Below are 21,734 nucleotides of genomic sequence, written 5' to 3'. Positions count from 1 at the left end.
CTTCGTTTTTGAGAGCTCACTAGGTGAAAATTAAGTTTATCCACTTATTTATGCATTGGGTTCTTTATACCATCTCTCAAGTGGTTTCTTGCTCAGGATAACATATTTATTTTTAACTATGTTGCTATTGGTTTCTCTCTTCTTTATCAGTGTTAATAGTTGTACTTTCGTAAAACTCAGAAAACAAAGATTAAACAGAACAGGAAAGCAAGGGTTAAAAATCACATTAATTATATAATGAAAGAACCCACAATTATTTTAATTGATATGTTCCTTTTTAATTCCCAAGATCCATTGATCCAAAGCCTGCATCTACAGTTTTGATGGGACAAAGTAGAATGAAATATTTTTGTTTCCCAAATGAAGTGTCATGTCATCAGCCTTATGCAACTACCTTTGATTTATAATGTTTTTATACATATTTATAACAACTGTACTAGAGTTCTATTTTATTATCTATTCACTATTATGAAATTTATAAAATTATAATTTAATAATGAAGTGTGCCAGTATATATATTAAATGTTTGTATTGAAATAAAAATACTTGTGAAAAGTAGAATTATTTCCTTAGATATGAGTTGAGATAAAAGAAACTTCATTTGTGTAGGAATATAATTAAATATCTTTCTACTAAAGGTAGACTGTGAAAAGCACAGTAAAGTTATGATTTCTTGCATTTTTAGTGTGTTCTCCAACAAAGAAACTATAAGGACCCTCAAAATTAAGGAAATTAGGAAATTAAATCCTAAAGATGTTTGGGCTTATATAGCATACAATCAACTTAAAATTCACTTTGGAGATAGGTTAAGATAATAATGGCAGTTAGTGCCATTAAAATTGGGTAAGTTTACATCTAGTTGTACTTTTAGTAAATGAGCATACCTAAATTTAAAGTTATTCTCTCATGATTTAAGACAAGTAACTTTTTAATGAAGAGGTTCACCATTGAACACTGTCTCTTCTTGGTAAATTTCTTTTTCCTTACCAAGGTCAAGGTAAGGAAACATCTGTACTTTTTTTGTGTTTGTTATGTTTCTCTGAAATGTTTCATTGCCACAATTATGGCTATGAAAACTGGAGAATATGATCTGTACCCACCAATAAATAAAAACTAAGGTACCTGGTTTGCTGTGGAAAGGCAGTTTTCAGCCTGTCTGTAATTCTCTCCCAATTCATGATGGAGGGATCACTCCGCAGACCTGCACTGGGAGGCACAGCGTCTCCCACAGGCGCTGGCAGAGCCCAGGCTATGCCAGTCATCTGTAAGAGGCAGAGAGCTATAGCCCAGCAGGTTTAATTATTAAGAAGTGACATTCCTATACCTCAGAAAATGGGTACAATGAAGAAGCGTACTGGCATACACATTCAATTTTTACAGTTTTTCTCTTAATATTTCTAATTGTTTGTAACTATTTTAAACTTATTTTAAAAATAGGACAAAGAAAAGGGTAGAATGAAGAAGAATACTGGCATACACAATCCCTTTTAGGGTTTTTCTCTTAACTAATACAAACAATATTTCTAACTGTTTATAAATATTTAAACTTATTTTTAAAATAGGACATGCTTGCTTCAGTAATTACATACATGTACAGCAAAACATGAAGGCTGTTTACTGCTGTTTCTCTTTTAACAGTGAAAACTGAAAAAACCTTACATCTATAGAGAAATGAATAAATTATGGCACATCTAATCAAGTTTTTAAAAATAGAACTGTATGTCTGGGCATAAGAGATATGCATGAAATATGATTTTTTAAAAAGTCTGTGGCACAGTATTTATGATACGACTTCCTTTTACATTAAAAAATTTTAAATGCATATGTATACACGGAGAAAGGTCTGTAAATTACAATGCGTAAGAAGTGATTATTTCTTAGGGATCAATTGCACAGTAACTTTGTTTTCTAATGTGCTTACATTTCTATATTATTCGCATTTTGTGATTAGCATATATACCTTTATAACGAGAAAGTAAAGTTACATTTTTCAAACAACCAAATAAAGATGGGAATACTACTAGAACTGCTCTGCCCAATGTCTCATCAATGTTGTAGACAAAAGTGGTGCAGAAGTTGTAGTGACATGCAGCCATGAAACCATCACTTTTCTCCATATTTTATGGTAGTTCCTTCTTAAGATTCTAATTAAATAATATAATAACAGAGTATTTTTGGAGTGCTCATCTGATTACTAAGATAATTATGACCACTTGCACCTTTTATGTAAGGCTCTAATGGGTTATTTTCAAATATTAGGTTATTATTCATGAAAAACTAGCAACTACTAACAGTCACTGTAATAATTTGTACAGAGCCTAAGAAGTGAGGGGAAGCAGAATATTTCCCAGAAATCTGAATTTGCTTCTATGTCAAGCTTTACCCCAGGAATCAGAAAGTAATCTTATTAGGAGATTAAGGTATTTTAATGTTTTTAATAAAATTTTATCATAGTTTCTTATAGAATGGTGGGCAAGCAAATTGCAAGAGTTAACACTGTAATATCATGGTAGTAAAAAGATGTGTTACTTATTTAACATATTAAGGACTATATACAGATTTGTTTATAGACAGGTAGCCTCGACAATAATAAGCAGAGTCCACCTGACCATGTATTTCAAAAGGAAACTGTTAGCAATATATGGGGAGCAGAAAAGAAAAGAAACAATTAATTGCACCTAATTATACTTATAGGAAAATCAAGATTAGAGAATTTTCATTAATTACATCTAACATCATTCTTTTGGAAGATTTTCCTTTAATAAAAAACCTTCACCAAGATTACAACTGATAATTCTGGTAATTTCAAATTTATATGTTCCTTCTTCAGGTTTGGATAAAGTTTATCTGGCTATTTGTAGCTGGGAAGATTTATAACTTTACAGTTTATGTTTCAAGGTGATGCTATTTATAGTCTGTTTATAGATACACTTGAAATACTGTCCTACTATGTGTGTGTACGTGTGTGGAAATAAAATTTTTCTTTAGCTTTGTGCCATAATATAGTTTGTTGTGACTTGGCTTCTTTGCTTTTCAATCTTCCCAACAACCATGCCAAAAAAATCTATTAAAAATGTCAATTTACCCTGCATTGTTGCCTATTTCAGAAGCAATACTATAATTTTAAGGATTCTCTAGTATAAAAACATATTTATCTTTGTATCCCAAAACGAAGCTAGTATCAGTTAAATAATATATGTAACACCCTGAGCACAGTGCTTCACAGGAAGTATTCATTCAATTATCACCACCACCCCCATCATTATCATATCAAATGAATGAACAAAATGAAGATACTCATTCAGGAAGCCCACTAGAGTAATAAAAAAACTAATTAACATCTATTCCACCAAGAAAGCTTTTACCAGGGGGGCTCTAGGTTGGCCAGTTGCAGAGACGACTCCCGGGCAAACTGCAGGCATTTGAGGAACAGTAAGTATGGGTCTAAAGAAAGATTCTTTCACAAGAGGTCTTCCTAAGAACTGCTGCATCTAAAATAGAAAATATAAACAATAATAAACAACACCCCCCCCCACATATTTATATATTTATTTAGGCAATCATCTAAATTCATACAGCAATATGGCGGGGGGAACACTCATTTGAACTCAAGATACAAAGCACATTAGAAACAATGTATGTCAGAAAATGAAACATATGAATATTGGAAAAACAAAGGGCAATGAGATATATTGAAAACAGCATTGACAAAGACAGAAAAGAAATAGCTTCTAGTCACATTTCTCTCTACGTAGCTGAATAACCTTGGAAACCAATTTCCTAATCTATAAAATGAGAGGGTTGGATAAGGTAATCATTAAGGTTCCCTCCCAACTGTAATCACATAGAACTATGCAAAGGAGATTCTCAGGAAGTGTTATCTATGTTGGTGGGCAATATTGATACTCAGAAATTTCACAGAACAACCCAAAGTTATCCATAGAAAATATTTTATATTGGAGGTAATACTTGATGAAATTTTGACTTAATGTTTAGCTCCAAGGAGAGCTGGAGGAGGAAGTGGGATGGGCCTGGGAGATAAACTCTGCTATAGTGATTTGCAGATATGCTTGTGGGTATTACCGTACTTCCCAGGGGGTTATGGAAATCTAGACCTTCTTAGCAGCTATCTGTGGAAAAGATACCTTGCTGGCTGGAGCAGAGAAGGGGGCAGATTTATTGGATATGTAGTACATGCCAGCCCTACTACTGGCATTAAGCATAAAGCAGGAGTTCAATAACAATTTGTTACTGAACTTAAAAAATGAGGAACAGCAACATAGCTCTAAGTAATGATCCTAAAAATATCATGTGAAAAATTAATGGGGAACTTTACAATGGATAGACTGGACTGGCATTTGAGTTTTAACATCTTAAAAGAACATTATGTGATTGCTAGGTAAGAAAAAGAGATTTTTTAAACAACTGGGAAACAAAAATTCTAACTGGATATTAAAAATTATAATTTTCTTAGGTAAGACAATGGTGTTATGATTATATCCAGTAAGAGTTCCTCATCTTTTAGGATATATCCTAAAGCATAAATGGATAAATTGGATGATATCTGGGGTTTGCTTTAAAATATTCCAGTGGAGAGGAAAAAGGGAATGACATAAAACAAGGCTGACAATATATTGATAATGCTGAGGCTGGCTCCTGGGTTTGAAGAGGTTGATTATACTATTTTTTACATATGTGTCAAATTTTTTACATGTAAAGTCTTAAAAAAATGAATGAATGGTGGGTACTGAGTCAACAGTCCTGCTCTGTTTGAGAACCACTATTACCTAACACTTTATTTTTATTTTCAATGGACACATAATTGTACATTTTTATGGGGTACAATGTGAGGTTTTCATACATGTATACATGTATGGTGTAACGATCAAAGGGTAATTGGCATATTCATCACTTCATTTGTCATTTCTTTGTGGTTCTAATATTCAAAATCCTCTCTTCTAGCCATTTTGAGATATATAATACCTTACTGTTAACTATAATCATCTTACTAATAGAACGCCAGAACTTATCCTTCCTTTCTAATTGTACCCATTGACCAACCAACCTCTCCCTGTGCTTGCCTTCCATCTATCCTCCCTAGTCTCTGGTAACCACTGTTTTTTCATTAATTTTATGAGACCAACTGTTTTAGATTCCACATGCGTGGGATCAGGTAGTATTTGTCTTTCTGTGTCTGGCTTATTTAACTTAACATAACGTCCTCCAGGGTCATCCATGTTGTCACAAATGACAGGATTTCATTCTTTTTTATGACTAAGTAGTATTTCATTGTGTATATATACATTTTCTTTATCCAACCTTTATGGACACTTATGTAGATGACATATCTTAGCAATGGTAAATAATACTGCAGTGAACATAGGAGTGCAGGTGTCTCTTCAGGATACTTGACTTCATGTCCTTTCCCACTATACCTAGTAGTAGGATTGTTGGAGCATATGGTAGTTGTATTTTTAATTTTTTGAGGAACCTCGATACTGTATTCCATAATAGCTGCGCTAATTTACATTCCCACCAACAGTGTGTAAGGGTTCCCTTTTCTCCACATCATCGCCAACATTTGATATCATTTGTTTTTTGATAATAGCTGTTCTTTTTTTTTCTAATTATTATACTTTAAGTTCTGGGATACATGTACAGAATGTACAGGTTTGTTTCATAGGTATACATGTGCCATGGTGGTTTGCTGCACCCATCAACCCGTCATCTACATTAGGTATTTCTCCTAATGCTATCCCTCCCCAGCCCCCACCCCCCGACAGGCCCCAGTGTGTGATGTTCCCCTCCCTGTGTCCATGTGTTCTCATTGTTCAACTCCCACTTATGAGTGAGAACATGCAGTGTTTGGTTTTCTATTCCTGTGTTAGTTTGCTGAGAGTGGTGACTTCTAACTTCATCCATGTCCCTGCAAAGGATATGAACACATCCTTTTTTATGGCGGCAGAGTATTCCATGGTGTATATTTGCCACATTTTCTTTATCCAGTTTATCACTGATGGGCATTTGGGTTGGTTTCAAGTCTTTGCTACTGTGAACAGGGCTGCAATAAACATATGTGTGCATGTGTCTTTATAGTAGAATGATTTACAATCCTTTGGGTATATATCTAGTAATGGGATTGCTGAGTCAAATGGTATTTCTGGTTCTAGACCCTTGAGGAATCGTCACACTGTCTTCCACAATGGTTGAACTAATTTACACTCCCACCAACAGTGTAAAAGTGTTCCTATTTCTCCATATCCTCTCTAGTATCTGTTGTTTCCTGACTTTTTAATGACTGCCATTCTAACTGGCGTGAGATGGTATCTCATTGTGGTTCTGATTTGCATTTCTCTAATAACCAGTGATGATGAGCTTTTTTTCATATGTTTGTTGGCCACATAAATGTCTTCTTTTGAGAAGTGTCTGTTCATATCCTTTGCCCACTTTTTGATGGGGTTGTTTTTTTCCTGTAAATTTGTTTAAGTTCTTTGTAGATTCTAGATATAAGCCCTTTGTCAGACGGATAAGATTGCAAAAATTTTCTCCTATTCTGTAGGTTGCCTGTTCACTCTGATGCTGTGCAGAAGCTCTTTAGTTAGATCCCATTTGTCAGTTTTGGCTTTTGTTGCCATTGCTTTTGGTGTTTTAGTCATGAAGTCTTTGCCCATGCCTATGTCCTGAATGGTGTTGCCTAGGTTTTCTTCTAGGGGTTTTAGGGTTTTAGGTCTTACATTTAAGTCTTTAATCCATCTTGAGTTGATTTTTGTATAAGGTGTAAGGAAGGGTTCCAGTTTTTGCTGCAAATGGCTAGCCAGTTTTCCCAACACCATTCATTAAATAGGGAATCTTTTCCCCATTGCTTGTTGTTGTCAGGTTTGTCAAAGATCAGATGGTTGTAAATGTGTGGCGTTATTTCTGAGGCTTCTGTTCTGTTCCATTGGTCTATATATCTGTTTTGGTACCAGTAGCTATTCTAACTAAAGAGAGGTGATACCTTGTAATTTTGGTTTGCATTTCCTTGAATTCTTCTTATCCATGAATATGATGTATTTTTCCATTTCTTTGTGTCCTCAATTTCTTTCACCAATGTTTGATAGTTTTCAGTGTAGTGATCTTTCTCCTCCTTGGTTAAATTTATTCCCAGGTATCTTTGTTTTTTGTAGCTATTGTAAATGGGATTTTCTTAATTTCTTTTTCAGACTGTTCACTATTAGTAAACAGAAATGCTATTGATTCTTGTATGTTGATTTTGAATCCTGAATCTTTACCAAATTTGTTAGTTTTAGGAGTTTTTAAGTGGAGTCTTTGCGATTTTCTATATATAAGATCATTTGTCTACAAAAAGGGACAGTCTGACTCCCTTCTTTCCAATTTGGATGTCTTTTATTCCCTTCCCTTGCCTAACTGCTCTGGCTAGGACCTCTAGTACTATTTTTAATAGAAATAGTGAAAGTGGGCATCCTTGTCTTGTTTCAGATCTCAGAGGAAACACTTCTAACTTTTTCCCATTTAGTATAATGTTAGCTGTGGGTTTGTCATATATGGCCTTTATTGTGTTGAGGTATGTACCTCCTATACCTAATTTTTTGAGAATTTTTATCATAAACTGACGTTGAATTTTGTCAAATGCTTTTTCTGCATCTATTGAAATGATCATATGGTTTTTGTCCTTCTTTCTGTTGATATGATGTATCATATTTACTGATTTGTGTATTTTAAATAACCATTGCATGATCTTTTTAATGGTACTAACACTTCTCTGAGGATTAAATAGCCAAGCTACAAAAATCAAGATACAATGAAACACATAGAATTACTGGGTTAAACTGGGAACAATCCACACTTTCATAGAAGTCTCTACTATGGAAGTCTGGTGACCACTCCTTAGAACACTAGTATCCCAGAAATAGATGGGACTTGAGTGATCAGATCATCCAGTACAATTTCCTAATTCACTGATGGGAAATCAAAAGTCCAGAAGAGCTGATTTTTCCCAAGATCAACATAGCTCTTCACAAAGTTAGGATCTGAACCCAGACCTCATTAGTGTACTTCCATTGTAGGTACCATCTCAATTTACAGCAAATAGCACTGTAACGTTTCTAGGTGCTCTTCTCCCAAACTCTCTCCTCTGATGCTCAGTGGTCACCAATGCTTGTACTTTAACACAACTGTTAGCTTAATCAAGCACAGCAGTGACCCTAATTAGGAAGCACAAAAGATACAGGTGAACCCCTCAGAATGTTAGCAAAGGATGCTTATAAATTACCACACAGCCTAACTGCCAGTAGGTTTTTGTACTTAACTAAACCCGGGTAAGACATGTCAGACATAAGAAAGTCTCCAAAGGGATAAAAGGATCTGGAGGGTCTGGAGGTCAAGGTTTGACTATGTTTGTCAGCTAAAGAATATCACTTGTATCAGACAGCCAAGGCTTATACTGGTCTGGTTCCAGGAAACTCCAAACAACAGCTTCACAGTCTCTGGACCCATTTTATAGTTAAGAGCCATTGAAGAATTTAACTACAATCTAAGGACAGTATTTTGAATGTGGGCAGAAGGTACAGTGTTTTTAGACATCCCACAAAAAAATATGTGTTACTGCAGGGAATCTTTGGAATTTCTCTGGAACACATTCCTTATCAGAGTAGTTGGGTATGATGATGATCCAAGCCTAGAATAATAATGCTCATAATCCAGTGTTCCTATAGAAACTGAATTGACCAAAAATATAAAAGGCAAAACTATCATTCTAAACTAAAGCCCATGATGTATATCCCATAATTCTTTTAGCTATAGATCCTGCTTTTGAAACAGTGTAACTCCATACAAATTATATAATTTTTAAATTCTTTGTTATACTCAACCATGAGGAGAAATAACATTTTCAGGTTTCTATTATAAGCAGGAGTGGTGATATCAAAGTCATCTGTCCCCACATAACTTACACTTTTCCTCTCTTCCTACTGCCAGATCTCTTAAGATAATAAAAATTGTCATCCAATGACACCCTCTTAAAAGGTCTTTTGGAAAGCTGTGTGAATTTACTGGGTTAGGGTGCTATGTTTCCCAGACATACAGGACAGGGATTAGTTTATCTGATTAAGATCCACTGGCCCCTAACAACAAGCAGAGAAGGGGCAGAAGTGGAAGCTGTCCTTGCTGTTGGAGGTAGAATAGAATATAAAACTTCACAAAAAGAAAGTCTAAAGTAGAAATGCAGAGGTGAGGTCCAGCCATGCAGGGTATTACATTGAGATGTTTCAGTCATTTCGTGCAGCGGTCCCCAATCTTTTCGGCACCAGGGACTGGTTTCATGGAAGATAATTTTTTCAAGAACTGGGGAGTGGAGATGGTTTTGGGAGAATTCAAGCACATTACATTTATTGTGCACTTTATTTCTAGTATTATTACATTGTAATATATAATAAAATAATCATATAACTCACTATAATGTAGAATTAGTGGGAGCCCCAAGCTTGTTTTTCTGCAACTAGATAGTCCCATCTGGGGGTGATGGGAGACAGTGACAGATCACCAGGCATTAGATTCTCACAAGGAGCACATAACCTAGATCCTTCACATGCACAGTTCACAATATGGTTCACACTCCTGTGAGAATCTAGTGCTGCAGCTGATTTGACAGGATGCAGAGCTCAGGTGGTAATGTGAGCAATGGGGAGCAGCTGTACATACAGATAAAGTTTTGCTTCTTCACCCACTGCTCACCTCCTGCTGTGCACTGGTCCGTGGCCCAGAGGTTGGGGACCTCTGATCTAGTGGTAACATGAGGACACTGGGAAGTCTGAGTATTCATTATTTAGCTCCCACAAGGTAGGTGAAATAGGGTGAATGAGAAAATATTACTCTATGTATATCAAATGCTTCACTAAAATCCAGTGATACAACCTATTGTATAGGCCTCACCCATCTAATTATATCATCTGGTGACTCGAAGGTATGGTCATAATTACAAGTGATACTCACAATATGTGCCTATTCCATTTTGAACACACGTTAAACATACTGCATATTCAGTGTTTCACAGCCCTTACCATTTTGTCAAAATGAAAAGGGCAATTATTCAAAATGTTGTATTTCTTACCAGTATCTCAGGACTGGGTGGTGGAGGAGGAAGCTGGACTGGAGGCAAGGTACTCAAGGCAAATCCTTGCTTGACTTTGTTTATTTGTTCATTGTACTGTGTCTGGTAGAAGAAGACTAAAAATACTTTAGAGAACAACCAACTTTAAAGAGACAGCATATGGGAATATCTGATGTAGTTTTGAATAATACAACATACAAGAGTGGTTGCCAACCTGTCAGAAATAATATAAAAACAGGTTCTGACCAAAAAAAAAAAAAAATTCTATAGACCATCCCCACATGTAAACAGTTGTATTTTTAGGAGTCGTTATTGGTTAATAAGAAACAGAGACACAGATAATTCACAGATTCTTGTGATAATTCCTCAGTGCTTCCAAAATTTTCAGCTCTAAAATAGGAACCACTGATACAAATAAAAAAAGAGACTAAAGATTCAAGAAGCTATAAATATTATACTGGCTAAAAAACAGGAAAAAATATATTTGTAACAAGCAGTTAAACTACTTGCAAATGTTCATTTTAAAAACGGAAGGAAAAATTTTAGAGATTACTTATGAAATTCTACATTGTGTTTATCTCACAATCTGTAACTCTAGCTTGTTCTAGCTCCATACACATTTTATTCTCTTGGATTCTGACAAAAACTCCAACCTGGAAGTTTAACAACACATTTTCAACATTTTTTGGCATTGTCCCCACTTTTGCTTACCATATTATTTTGTAAAGAACGCGTAGGAACTGGGAAGGAAAGTCTTATAAAACAAAACATTTAGAAACTTCTGCATGGAGGACATGTGCTTGGAAGAAAACATGGGGCAGGTCTTTTGAGGCAAAAATTTTGAATAAACCCAACAGAAACGCTAAGCATCACTAAAGACTGAGTAAGAAAGAGTTTGGAGAGAAACAGTGAAAACCCCCAAGGGAGTTGGACAAATATCCAGTTGCTTTTGGCACTTCACAACTGAATGACAATGCTTTTTTTTTTGCTGATAGTGTTGTGAAATCACAAAAAAATCAACATTATCTATCAACCTTAGTATATAAATATAAAAAGATTCTAAAACAAAATCAATTAATAAATATTCAGTGGATTATGTCTTTAGATTACCTGTAGCATGGTCCTACACCAGTACTTAAGAATTTACTATTTTGCATTATGGAATAATTACATAAAAAGTTAGATTGAAAACAAATACAGGCCTACTTGATTTTCTTTTTTATTCTGTAAACACATTATTACTCAGACCGCATTAAAACATTTAGTTTTTATTCCAAATTTTGTTTTAGAGAGAGTCTCACTCTATTGTCCAGGCTGTAGTACAGTGGCATGATCATAACTCACCATAACCGTGAGCACCTGGCTCAAGTGATCCTCTCGCCTTGGCTCCCAAAATGCTGGGATTATAGGCATGAGCCACTATGCCTGGCCAAAACATTTAGTTTTGATTGGGGCACTGTTAGCTTTGAAATTCTAGGAAAGCTAGGTGTGAGGGCACAATTTTTGAGTTTATTTTCTTGACTAAGGATATAAAAGACTACACGTGTGAGTCTAGGATGTTATCTACAACCAACCACATGGAAGTAATCTCAAAGTGAAGGCATAAACTTTTATAACTAAAATGGAAAATATGTTCTTCCTTAAATTTTTCTACTAATATGTCTTCTAACTTTACACCACCTATAACATTAAGCCAATTTTCTCCAAATATACTTCAGGACTTACCCTGAGGAATGCAATCTTGTTTCTAACATCTGCCACAATGGCATTCCAACTGTCTACCGCAGCCTTTAATTGAAGTGATTCTAGGTTGCTGTTGTAGAAAAGGAGACACAAAAGAAAACTCTTTCTTTTTATAACACTTAGGTTTCCAAACATGTCTATCACGCTTTCTAGCATATATGTCAACAAAAAACAAAATTACCCCCATCACCAACAATTACTTCAAATGGACATAAAGAGGTATGGACAGGTTTGTTACTAAAAATAACAAAAACAGTAATAAAAAATTCATTTTTCACAAGCAAATAAAATTGATGCTTCCAGAACAAGTTTTTTCTATCTTGATGATGTCTTTTTAGTATATATTATAAAACCTTTGTAAGGAATCTTTCCAATGAAGCAGGAAAGCCTTAGTAATCTAATACAGCAGTGTTCTCTAAAATGTTGACCCATGTTGGAAGCAAGTTTTGGACTATCTTCACATTAACTCTGACATCAAAAAGCCATGGTTGGCCTATATGGCTCCTTTGCAAATTAGAAAAAGATACTGTCTCTGGGAGGATAAATTAGAAATATCTTCTATTTGAGTACGAATGAGGTTGCTGCCTTTATATAGTACATAAATTGCACAAACAATAGTTTTATCAACTCATGCCTACCAAATGACTTAACAAAAGTAGGAACAACTTTGAAGTTGTTAGGGTCTATTATCTCTAGAAAAGAGATTTCATATGGCCTTTTAAAAGGTTCTATCCATTATAACATCCCACGCCAGTATCACCCAGCCCAACAATTTTATAAGAGCTGAACAAGTTATCACTAACATAATCTCATACAAAGAAGTTCCATAATATCCTAATGTATAGAGCACTCTTTCTTCTTCTAGCAAGCAAAAATAGACTGATCATTTACAACAGTACTTCCCTGACTTGAGTGCACATCAGTATATCCTGATAATCTAGCTAACATCAAAGACTCTGATTCTTTAGAATGAAAGAACAATGCTGATTATTAAAATAATAATCATTTAAAAATAATGATGCCTGGGTCCCAGAGATTCTAATTTAATTAATTCTTTAAGTTTGGTGTACCCCATGAGATTATAAATTTAAGGAGAATTTCATGCAACCTGTTCAATATTTGAAAATTACTCTATAATTACTATAAAAGCACAGCAGAAAACTACCTTTAACATACGATTTAGGTGTTAATACTGATGTTTCCCTCAACATATTCTGTAGGTGTTTAAAATCATTACAAAGGAAAACAATTAGAAAAAAAGTCTTCCAATTAGAATCCACCTTGTTTCATAAGTATCTGGTGTTCACGTATGTCTCTGAGACTTTTGATCTACTTCACTACAGAGGAAGGGAAAAAATCTTTCAGCAGCTATTATTGTACATAGTACTCATTAGACTTCTCAGTGCTTCAGCAGAAGCAGCCAAGTACAAGCATCAAAGTAACTAAATGACTTTTGAGGTTTAAACAACAACAACAAAAACAACAACAACAAGAGCTTCTGGTAAAAGGAATTTCAGGGGGAAAAAAATGAAAAAAAACCCAAAAAAACCACAAGAGCTTCTTTAAGAACTCTGATGTCACATATGTAAAACACATCACAGATTATATTCAACCGTGGAGACACTTGCTAACATCTCTAAAATTAAGATGCATTAAGGAAGAGGGAAAGGTTACCTTGCTGCCATGTGAGTCACCCTGGCAAGCTGATTGAGACATTCCTTTTCAGTCTGCTCTAGATGAAGCAAACCAAAATCCCTACGACACTGTAAGAAATACACCTACAGGTTTTTGAGAGAAAGAGAAAGAAGTTGAAGGTGTGCTTGTAAAGGAACATTCTCTTCTCAATCATCTCAAGTAAATTTAAAGCTATTTCTCAATTTCTTCCAATAGCATCTAGGTTCCTTGACCATTCAAGATACATTACAAAAGCTTTTAAATCAATGCCACCTCTGCAATTCTAATTTCCTTATTTAATGGTTACTAGGTTGGTAAACATTCCAGATCATGTCTTTTCAAATTTGTAATCATACTGGAATCGTCTCAGAAACTTTCAAAAATGGTGCCTTGGTCCCAGATATTCTAATTTGATTGATACTGAGTATAGCTTGGGCATTGGCATTTTTAAAAGCTCTCTGATAATTCTAACATGCAGTAAAGTTTGAGAACACTCCTGCTATCTATTCTTTTGTCATTGATGAAGAGGTAATAATAAGACCATACAGAAAGACAGAAACGGGCTTGGGAGATTACGTAGTTCAGTGTCTCTCTCGCAGCAGGAATCCTTTCCATATCACTACTTGCAGTAATTTAGCCTCTGTTTTTTACTACTAAACACTCAGTATTCACTAAAATACACTGTTGGACAGCATTAAGTATTAAAAAGTTCTTTCTAAAATTAATAATAGAAGCACAAAGAAATTTACTGATTAAAAACAATAAAAAACACTCTATACAAACGAGCTTTTAAAGTAATCTGAACTGTTTCTTTTGTTAAAGCTAGTACCCCAACAGTATTCTTCACGAATTTTTGGTTCAGATACTACTTCTTGGTTGCTGACTTCCAGGATCCCAAGTACTCTGCTAGAGAACAGAGCTTACCCATGACAGAGGTGTAAGGTTTGTAGTGCTTTTAATGTCAGTGATCTCTCCAAAAATGTGAATCTTACTGTATATCAAGTTTTGTTATGTATAAATAAAAATTACATACACACATACAATCATATTTCTTTTGAGAGACCCTAGCTGTGGTGTTCTAACTTAGAAAAAGCTGGCAGTCTGAAAAGCTGGTTTTTTACATTCAGGTGTATGATGTGTAAGTATTTTTGTAAGATATATATTGGAAGTAGCAAAGAAGATATTGTGGCAGCAGTAAAATGCTATTATTAGAAGTTTGGCTTAGTGACTTGGCTTCATGAGAATTTCCCCAAGATGTCTGTATTTGCTATACATACTGTAACAGACCAATTTCTTCAAGTCATTGGCAGAAAACAACATAAGAACATCAAAACTGAAGTATTCACACATGATTTGCCAATGAGTCAAAAAAGCACAAGACTTTCAACTGTATTTTCCTGGCTGATCCTAAGATGTCTTATTTCTGTTTATACAAAAAACAATCTTTTACAAATTCTTTAGTATGATGGTATACAAGTAAAACTTTTCCCCTCACCCCATACCCCTGTCCCCGTTTTGTTGTTACCTCGGCTGTTAAAGCTCTGCTAGTTTCTGCGTTCAGTTTGCTTACGTATGTTTTCATTGTGCTTTCCAGATTATGTTTTTCCATTTCCCACTGAGATCTGAAATACATGATCATTAAAGACTCGCAATATTACATCAAGCAGAGCCTTTTTCATCTAATTCAGGAGGAAGAAAGATAAGTTATACAATCAGTAGGAAATTATTTCTTGGAAAAGTATAGAGCACATAGAAACAAGAGAAGATACATTGTTCAATCCCTACTGTTATCCTTTACTATCAAGAGTATAGAAGTTTTATCAGGGTGTAGGCTATGATTTAAAACTTAGCTGTGAAATCAAGTTGTCTGAGGATGAATCTTAGCTCCACAACTTATTAACTGTAAAACCCCTGGGCAAGTGCAATGAACTGAATGTTTGTGTTCCCCCAAAACTCATATGTTGAAATCTTAACCCCCGAAGTGATGGTATTAGGAGGTGGTGCCTTTGGAAGATGATCAGTCATAAGGGCGGAACTCCAATGAATGGAATTAATGCCCATTTGAAAAAGGCCTGAGAGAGCTTCCTTGCCTGCCTTCTGCTATGTGAAGTTATAGTGGGAAGACGGCTGTCTATGAGGAAGAGGATCCTCACCAGATACCAAATAGGCTGCTACCTTGATCTTGGACTTCCCAGCTTCCAGAACTGTGAGAGATACAATTCTATTTTTATAAGCCACCCAATCAATGGTATTTTGACAGAGCAGTTCAACCTAAGACAGCAAGCTATTTAATTTCTCTATACCTCAGTTTCCTCACATGTAAAAATGAGGAAAATGGAAAAAACGGTACTACTTACCTCAAAGAGCTGCTGTGAAAATTAATTCAGATAATATAAAGCACTTTGTGTTTGGCACATAATAAGCACTAATAAATAAATGTTAGCTAGTATCATGATTAATAAGTTCTACATAAAATTTCTATAAGCTTTTTTGTATCCCAATGATAGCAACCACATAGGTTTTTATTATCCCCGTCATTACGTGAAGTTACTGCATTAAAATATTTGACTGGTTATTTCAGTGCTTACATTCAACATTTTTGAATGAAAGCAAACCCTACAGTTTGAGAGGGAAGGAGGAAGATGATGGTAAATACATTGTTTATGAAGGACATTAGGTAAATGGTTACCTATGAGGTTCCTTTTTTAATCTATCCCATCTCAGCTTCCTACACTTGAGTCCCAGAATTCTATAAGCATACAAACCAAATTCTAAATTTAATGAAAACAATTAATTGAAAATACGGCATTATAATAGAGACTGTCACAAAGGCAGTCCTCGATGTTTTATTATCAGAAACACTTGGATACTTGAGGACCTAACAAACATTGATGAGAAACTTGATAACAGTACATTATAAATATCATTAAGGCTAGACTTTTTTGAGGAGAAAAAAATAAAATCTTCAAGCAGATATATTAACACAAAAGGAATTAATTATTATACCATTAAATATTATGTAAAAGTTGCCTAAAAGAAAAAAATTACAAATCGGACTTCATCAAATTAAGTTTTGTGCTTTAAATGACATTAAGAAAATGAAAAGGCAACCCAAAGAATGAGAGTATTTGAAAATCATGTATCCGATAAGGGACTTGTATCTGATAAGGGACAAGAACTCTTAAAACTCAACAATAAAAAGACAATCTAATTTTTAAAATGGGCAAAGGATTTGAATAGACATTTCTCCAAGAAGATAAATAACTGGCCAATAAGCACATGAAAAGATGCTCAACATAATTAATCAGTGGGAAAATGCAAATCAAAACCACATTTATATACTACTTCACACATAATACAATGGGTAAAATAAAGACGTAATCTAACAAGTGTAACAAATGTTGATCAGAATGTGGAGAAATTGAAACCCTCATACACTGTTTATAGGATTATAAAATGGTGCAGCTACTTGGAAAACAGTTTGGCAATTCCTCAAAAAGTTAAACATAAAGTTGACTGATCACCAAGCAATTCTACTCCTTGGTACATACCCAAGAAATACAAAAACATGTCCACAAATCTGTATATAAATATTGATAACAGTATTCATAATAGCCAAACAATGGAAACAAGCCAAATGTCCATCAACTGATGAAAAATAAAATAAGGTATAGCCAAGGAATGGAATATTATTTATCCATAAAAAGGTATGAGTAATGATACATGCTACAACATGAATGAATTTTGAAACTATGTTAAGTGAAAAATGTTACTCACAAGAGGCTACATATTATATGATCCAATTTATATGAAATGTCCAAAAGAGGCAAATCCATACAGACAGAAAATAAATTAGCAGTTGCCAGAAGCTAGAGGAGGGGAGAATAGGGAATGACATCTAATGGGTTTCTTTTTTGGAGTGATAAAAATGTTCTGGAAATAGATAGTGGTGATGACTGTAAACCTCTGTGAATATTCTAAATCAATAAATTGTATATTTTAACAGAGATAATTTTATGCTGTATGAAATGGATTTCAAAAAGGTGTTATTAAAAAAATTTCCCACAGGCAAAACAGATGAATAAGAATAAAACTTGGCCAGTTTCATAAAGCAGTCACATCTAATAGTACTGACTGGGGTAACTCTTAAGGTCTAATCTCTGGCAGTAGTTTGCTCTGGGACTGTAACTTTGCTGATACAGATTCTTCTAGCAGTTTTCTAGAGTCAGAGCTAAAGTGACCATACCTCCCTATTTGCCTAAGATACTCCCAGTTTACACCTTTTGTCCCAGTGTATTATTAGTACTGTTCAATATCAGCCTCAAAAGTACCCCGGTTTGAATGATAAATTACATCAATATGCCAGCCAGAAAGTGTTGAGTGAAATACAGTTTCAGAGAGAGTGCACCCAAAGAAAAAGCTAAGTTTGTACCTTTTCATAGAAAGTTGCTCTTTAAGGTTCTTGATTTCATTATCTTTAGCATGGATTTGACGCTGTAATCTAAGCAAACAAGCAAGAAAGTCAAAAGATGTTAGAAATTATTTCTCATTAACACAGTCAGAAGAGCTCTAACTACAGCTGTGGAGGAGATAAAGTATGTCCATTTGGGGCCACAAATCTTGAGCCTGAATACAACTGAACTCCTATACCTGGTCCTTTTGAAATGTATCTTGTTTCTGATGTCTGATTTACTGACTTCCCAAAGAAAGGGGAACTAAGTTCTAATTCAGTAAATTAGAAAGCAAAAGAGAAGTGTTATCTTGCATCTCAGTGCAATGACTTGGAAAAATGTCTCTAGCTCTTCATGCTTCAGCTTACCTACTAGAAAACAGAGATGGTATCTTCTGATTTTCTAAGCCTGTTGTGAGATTGAGAACTTTAAGTTCCTTAAAGTGGTATTATATCAAGTCATGCAAATTATGAAAGATTTAAGGTCTAAAGGAAATCAAACCTTAAATATTGAAGTGATGAGGCTGTGTACAAATGCAAATTTTAATTAAAACTATGAATTATCACCTGGGGGTCACTCACATGATCTTATCATGGAAAGAATGGGTAAAAATTTTGTATAAATCAGAATCTATAGCCTGTGATCAGCTTCAAAATTAATATGTAAGAAACTAAGAGAAACGCATATACTTTTTGGTTGACATATATTCACATACCAGATTTCTGATGTTCCTCCCTTATGCTGCTGTATTTCTTTTCACAAGCAAGCTTTTACATAAACCTAGTAATTAACTTCAATATGAAAAGATTTATAATAAAAGCACATTTCTCTTTAAGTCTCTAATATGTTGAAATTCTTGGGATAAATGGAAGAGTTTTGGTTGGAATAATACATCTTTGAAATGACGACTTTAATGTTGGATGGATTGCTCACTACCAGATTTCAGAGACTACCCATTCACCTTTATTCTAAGCTTCTTAGAAGACTTAGAGACTTATAGTTAATGTTTTGTTGGTCTGAGAATGCAGTGAAAAGAAACCAGGTCTCTTTCTGTACAAAAGAGGTCATGTTCTCAAGTGAAATATTAAGAAATACAAGCTTCATTACTGTAATATATAGGAATATGTTGACAGAGTTGAAAAGCAGTAAAATTTGTAAGACTGCCATCTTGTTTTCCTTTGTATACTTCCATTACTTCAATATTTTACCCAGCTCTAGTTTAGAGTGGGCAATAAGAGTAGACATAACTAGTGGGGAATTCAGAACACCTAGACTCTTAAACAACAGAGGATAAGGTAGGCATAGTTCTTATTATCCAGCTCAGATAAGAGTCAGCTACGTATGTTCAGGCAGTCTTAACTTCTCAGTCTTTTTCTCATGTTTAATATAACAGAATGAAATTACTAGATTTTCTTTCTAAAAAATCTAAAGTTCTCAAGTTAACTCTAGCTGACTATCAAGTTTTATTATAGACTGTTGACAGCAGTTTCTTGACATATTACTAACTGCTTATTGTAGTTTATCCAAAGTTAAGTCACTTCCATAAAATCTTCTTTGTTAACACTTCAACTGTCATCAACAAATATTTGCCAAACATTTACTGCACATACCAAATTGAATTAGGCCAAAAAACCACACCATTTTTGCTTTCTAATCTCCATATTCTAAGATGAAAGAAGCCAACATTTACAATTAAAGAATATTTATATTTTATCACATACTCTTGGGCAATGTTCAGATGAATTAAACGAAGAAAACGTTCAAAAGCTTATATGAGAACACAGAGTAGTCATTATGTCCATTCTGCCTTGATGCCCTGTCTTTTCTTCCATCTCATCCCACCTAACCTTCAATGCCTAGGTTCAGTACTATGTCTTTAACAAAGTTCTTCATTGAAGGAAGTTCCTTATCACAACAATCAAAAAAATATTCTCTCTACCCTACAAAATTTCCACTAAGTATACTCTTGTTTGACAGTTTTTCATTATGTACTTTTTAAAATAGTTAAACTTTTTATTTCAAGATAATTGTAAATTCATATGCGTGTATAAGAAATAATACACAAAGAACCCATGTATCCTTTCCCCAATTTCTCCCCATGGTAACATCTTGCAAAACTACTGTATAATACCATAACCAGAATATTGATGGTAATACAGTCAAGATACTGAACTGTTCTATCACCACAGGGATCCTTCATTTTGCCCTTTTAAAGCCACAACCACTTCCCTTCCACTCTCATCCCCTTCTTATAACCTTGGAACCACTAATCTGTTTTCCATTTTTATAATTTTGTCATTTCAAGAATGTTCAGCAAATGGAAACATATATAAGCTTTTGGAACTGGCTTTTTTCAATCAGCATAATCTTCTGATGTCTGCAGTGTTTGTAGTATTTGCAGTGATACATATCACTGTTTCATTCCGGATGGTAGTAATTTATGTCTTTTATATTGTCAGTCTTGCTAGAGGTTTGTCAATTTTATTGACCTTTTCAAAGACACAGCTTTTTGTTTCATGGATTTTCTCTACTATTTTTCTTTTTCCAACTCATTCTTTCTCAGTTTCTTTTTTTTTTGAAATGGAGCCTTGCTATGTTGCCCATGCTGAACTGTAACTCCTGGGTTCAAGCAATCCTCCCATCTCAGCCTCTCAAGTAGCTGGGACTACAGGTGTGCACCACTGCATCCTGCTCCCATTATTTCTAATCTTTATAACTTATTTCCTCCTGCTTGCTTTGAGTCTATTTTGATTTTCTTTTTCTGGGATCTTGAAGTGAGAGCTTGGATTATCCACTGAAGACTTTTCTCTTTTTCTAATGTGTGTATTTAGTGTTATAATCTCAGCACTGCCTCAGCTATGTGGCACAAATTTTGACATATTGTATTTTCATGTAAATTCAATGTATTTTCTCTTGAGAGCTCTTCTTTGACCCATGGATTATTTAGACATGGGTTGCATAGTTTCCAGGCCTTTGGAGGTTTCTTGGTATCTCTCCGTTACTGATGTTTAATTTGACTCCATTGTGACCTGAGAACATGCTTTGTATGATTTCAACTCTTAAATTTGTTGTTGAGGTTTGTTTTATGGCCCAGGTTATTGTCTATCTTGGTAGATACATCCTGTGGTCACTTGAAAGCATGTGTATTCTACTGTTGTCGGGTGGGGTGTTCTATAAATATCAGTTAGGTCCTGCTGGTTGATGGTGGTTATTGAGGTCTTCTATATCCTTGCTGATTTTCTGTTTAGTAGTACTATAAATTGAGAGTGGAGTTTGAAGTGTTCAATTATAATGGTAAACTTTTCCATTTCTCCTTTCAGCTCTATCAGGTTTTACTTCATGTGTTTTGAGGCTGTTTTTGGTACATATACCTTGAGGTTCTTGTGGATTGATCCTTTCATCATTATGTAATGTCCCTCTTTGTGTCCAACAGTCTTCTTTCTTCTGAAGTCCATTTAATCTGATTTTAATATAGCCATTCTTACTTTTTTTTAATAAACATCTGCATGATATATCCCTAGCTTTATTCTCATTTAGGTGCCTTTACCCTCCTCACTTTTCAAATATACTGGTGTTTCTTCTACATACATTGAATTCCACGAGATAGTGTTAAAATTTTTGCTTCAACCATCAAATATGATTTAAGAAATTAATTAGGACAACTTCTTATTATTTATCTTACTCTTTACTCATTCTGATGGTCTTCTTTCCTTTCTGAAGTCTCAAGCTTCTACTATATATATATTTTTAAAGTTTAG

General features: G+C 34.6%; 1 protein-coding gene across 12 annotated transcripts in view, besides 1 other annotated feature; it reads right to left on the bottom strand.

Annotated features, from left to right (window-relative positions):
• The window catches only part of DZIP3 (DAZ interacting zinc finger protein 3), a 105,331-nt gene that overhangs the window by 7,134 nt on the left and 76,463 nt on the right, over positions 1 to 21,734 (bottom strand). For 10 of the 12 annotated variants that reach the window (XM_005247917.4, XM_005247914.5, XM_047449256.1 and 7 more), the window contains 7 exons: positions 17,958 to 18,026; positions 15,051 to 15,147; positions 13,526 to 13,629; positions 11,834 to 11,921; positions 10,109 to 10,210; positions 3,366 to 3,491; positions 1,123 to 1,262 (listed from right to left, as the gene is read on the bottom strand). In XM_005247917.4, the coding sequence (XP_005247974.1) occupies positions 1,123 to 1,262; positions 3,366 to 3,491; positions 10,109 to 10,210; positions 11,834 to 11,921; positions 13,526 to 13,629; positions 15,051 to 15,147; positions 17,958 to 18,026 (726 nt within the window). Of the gene's footprint in view, positions 1 to 1,122; positions 1,280 to 3,365; positions 3,492 to 10,108; positions 10,225 to 11,833; positions 11,922 to 13,525; positions 13,630 to 15,050; positions 15,148 to 17,957; positions 18,027 to 21,734 lie in introns of those variants that run through there. The other 2 variants (XM_047449255.1, XM_047449257.1) reach the window with 2 other exon arrangements.
• Positions 9,663 to 9,834: a silencer, noted in NCBI's record as "fragment chr3:108396720-108396891 (GRCh37/hg19 assembly coordinates)". NCBI's record gives its function as "represses an EF-1alpha promoter that drives an FKBP-Casp9 reporter gene in an ReSE screen in HepG2 liver carcinoma cells {active_cell/tissue: HepG2}" and the evidence as "EXISTENCE:reporter gene assay evidence [ECO:0000049][PMID:32094911]".

This window comes from Homo sapiens, chromosome 3 (assembly GCF_000001405.40).
Source record: "Homo sapiens chromosome 3, GRCh38.p14 Primary Assembly".
Lineage (NCBI taxonomy): Eukaryota > Metazoa > Chordata > Mammalia > Primates > Hominidae > Homo > Homo sapiens.
The sequence above is the reverse complement of the archived record's forward strand: the minus strand, read 5'-3'. Positions and strand labels throughout refer to the sequence as shown.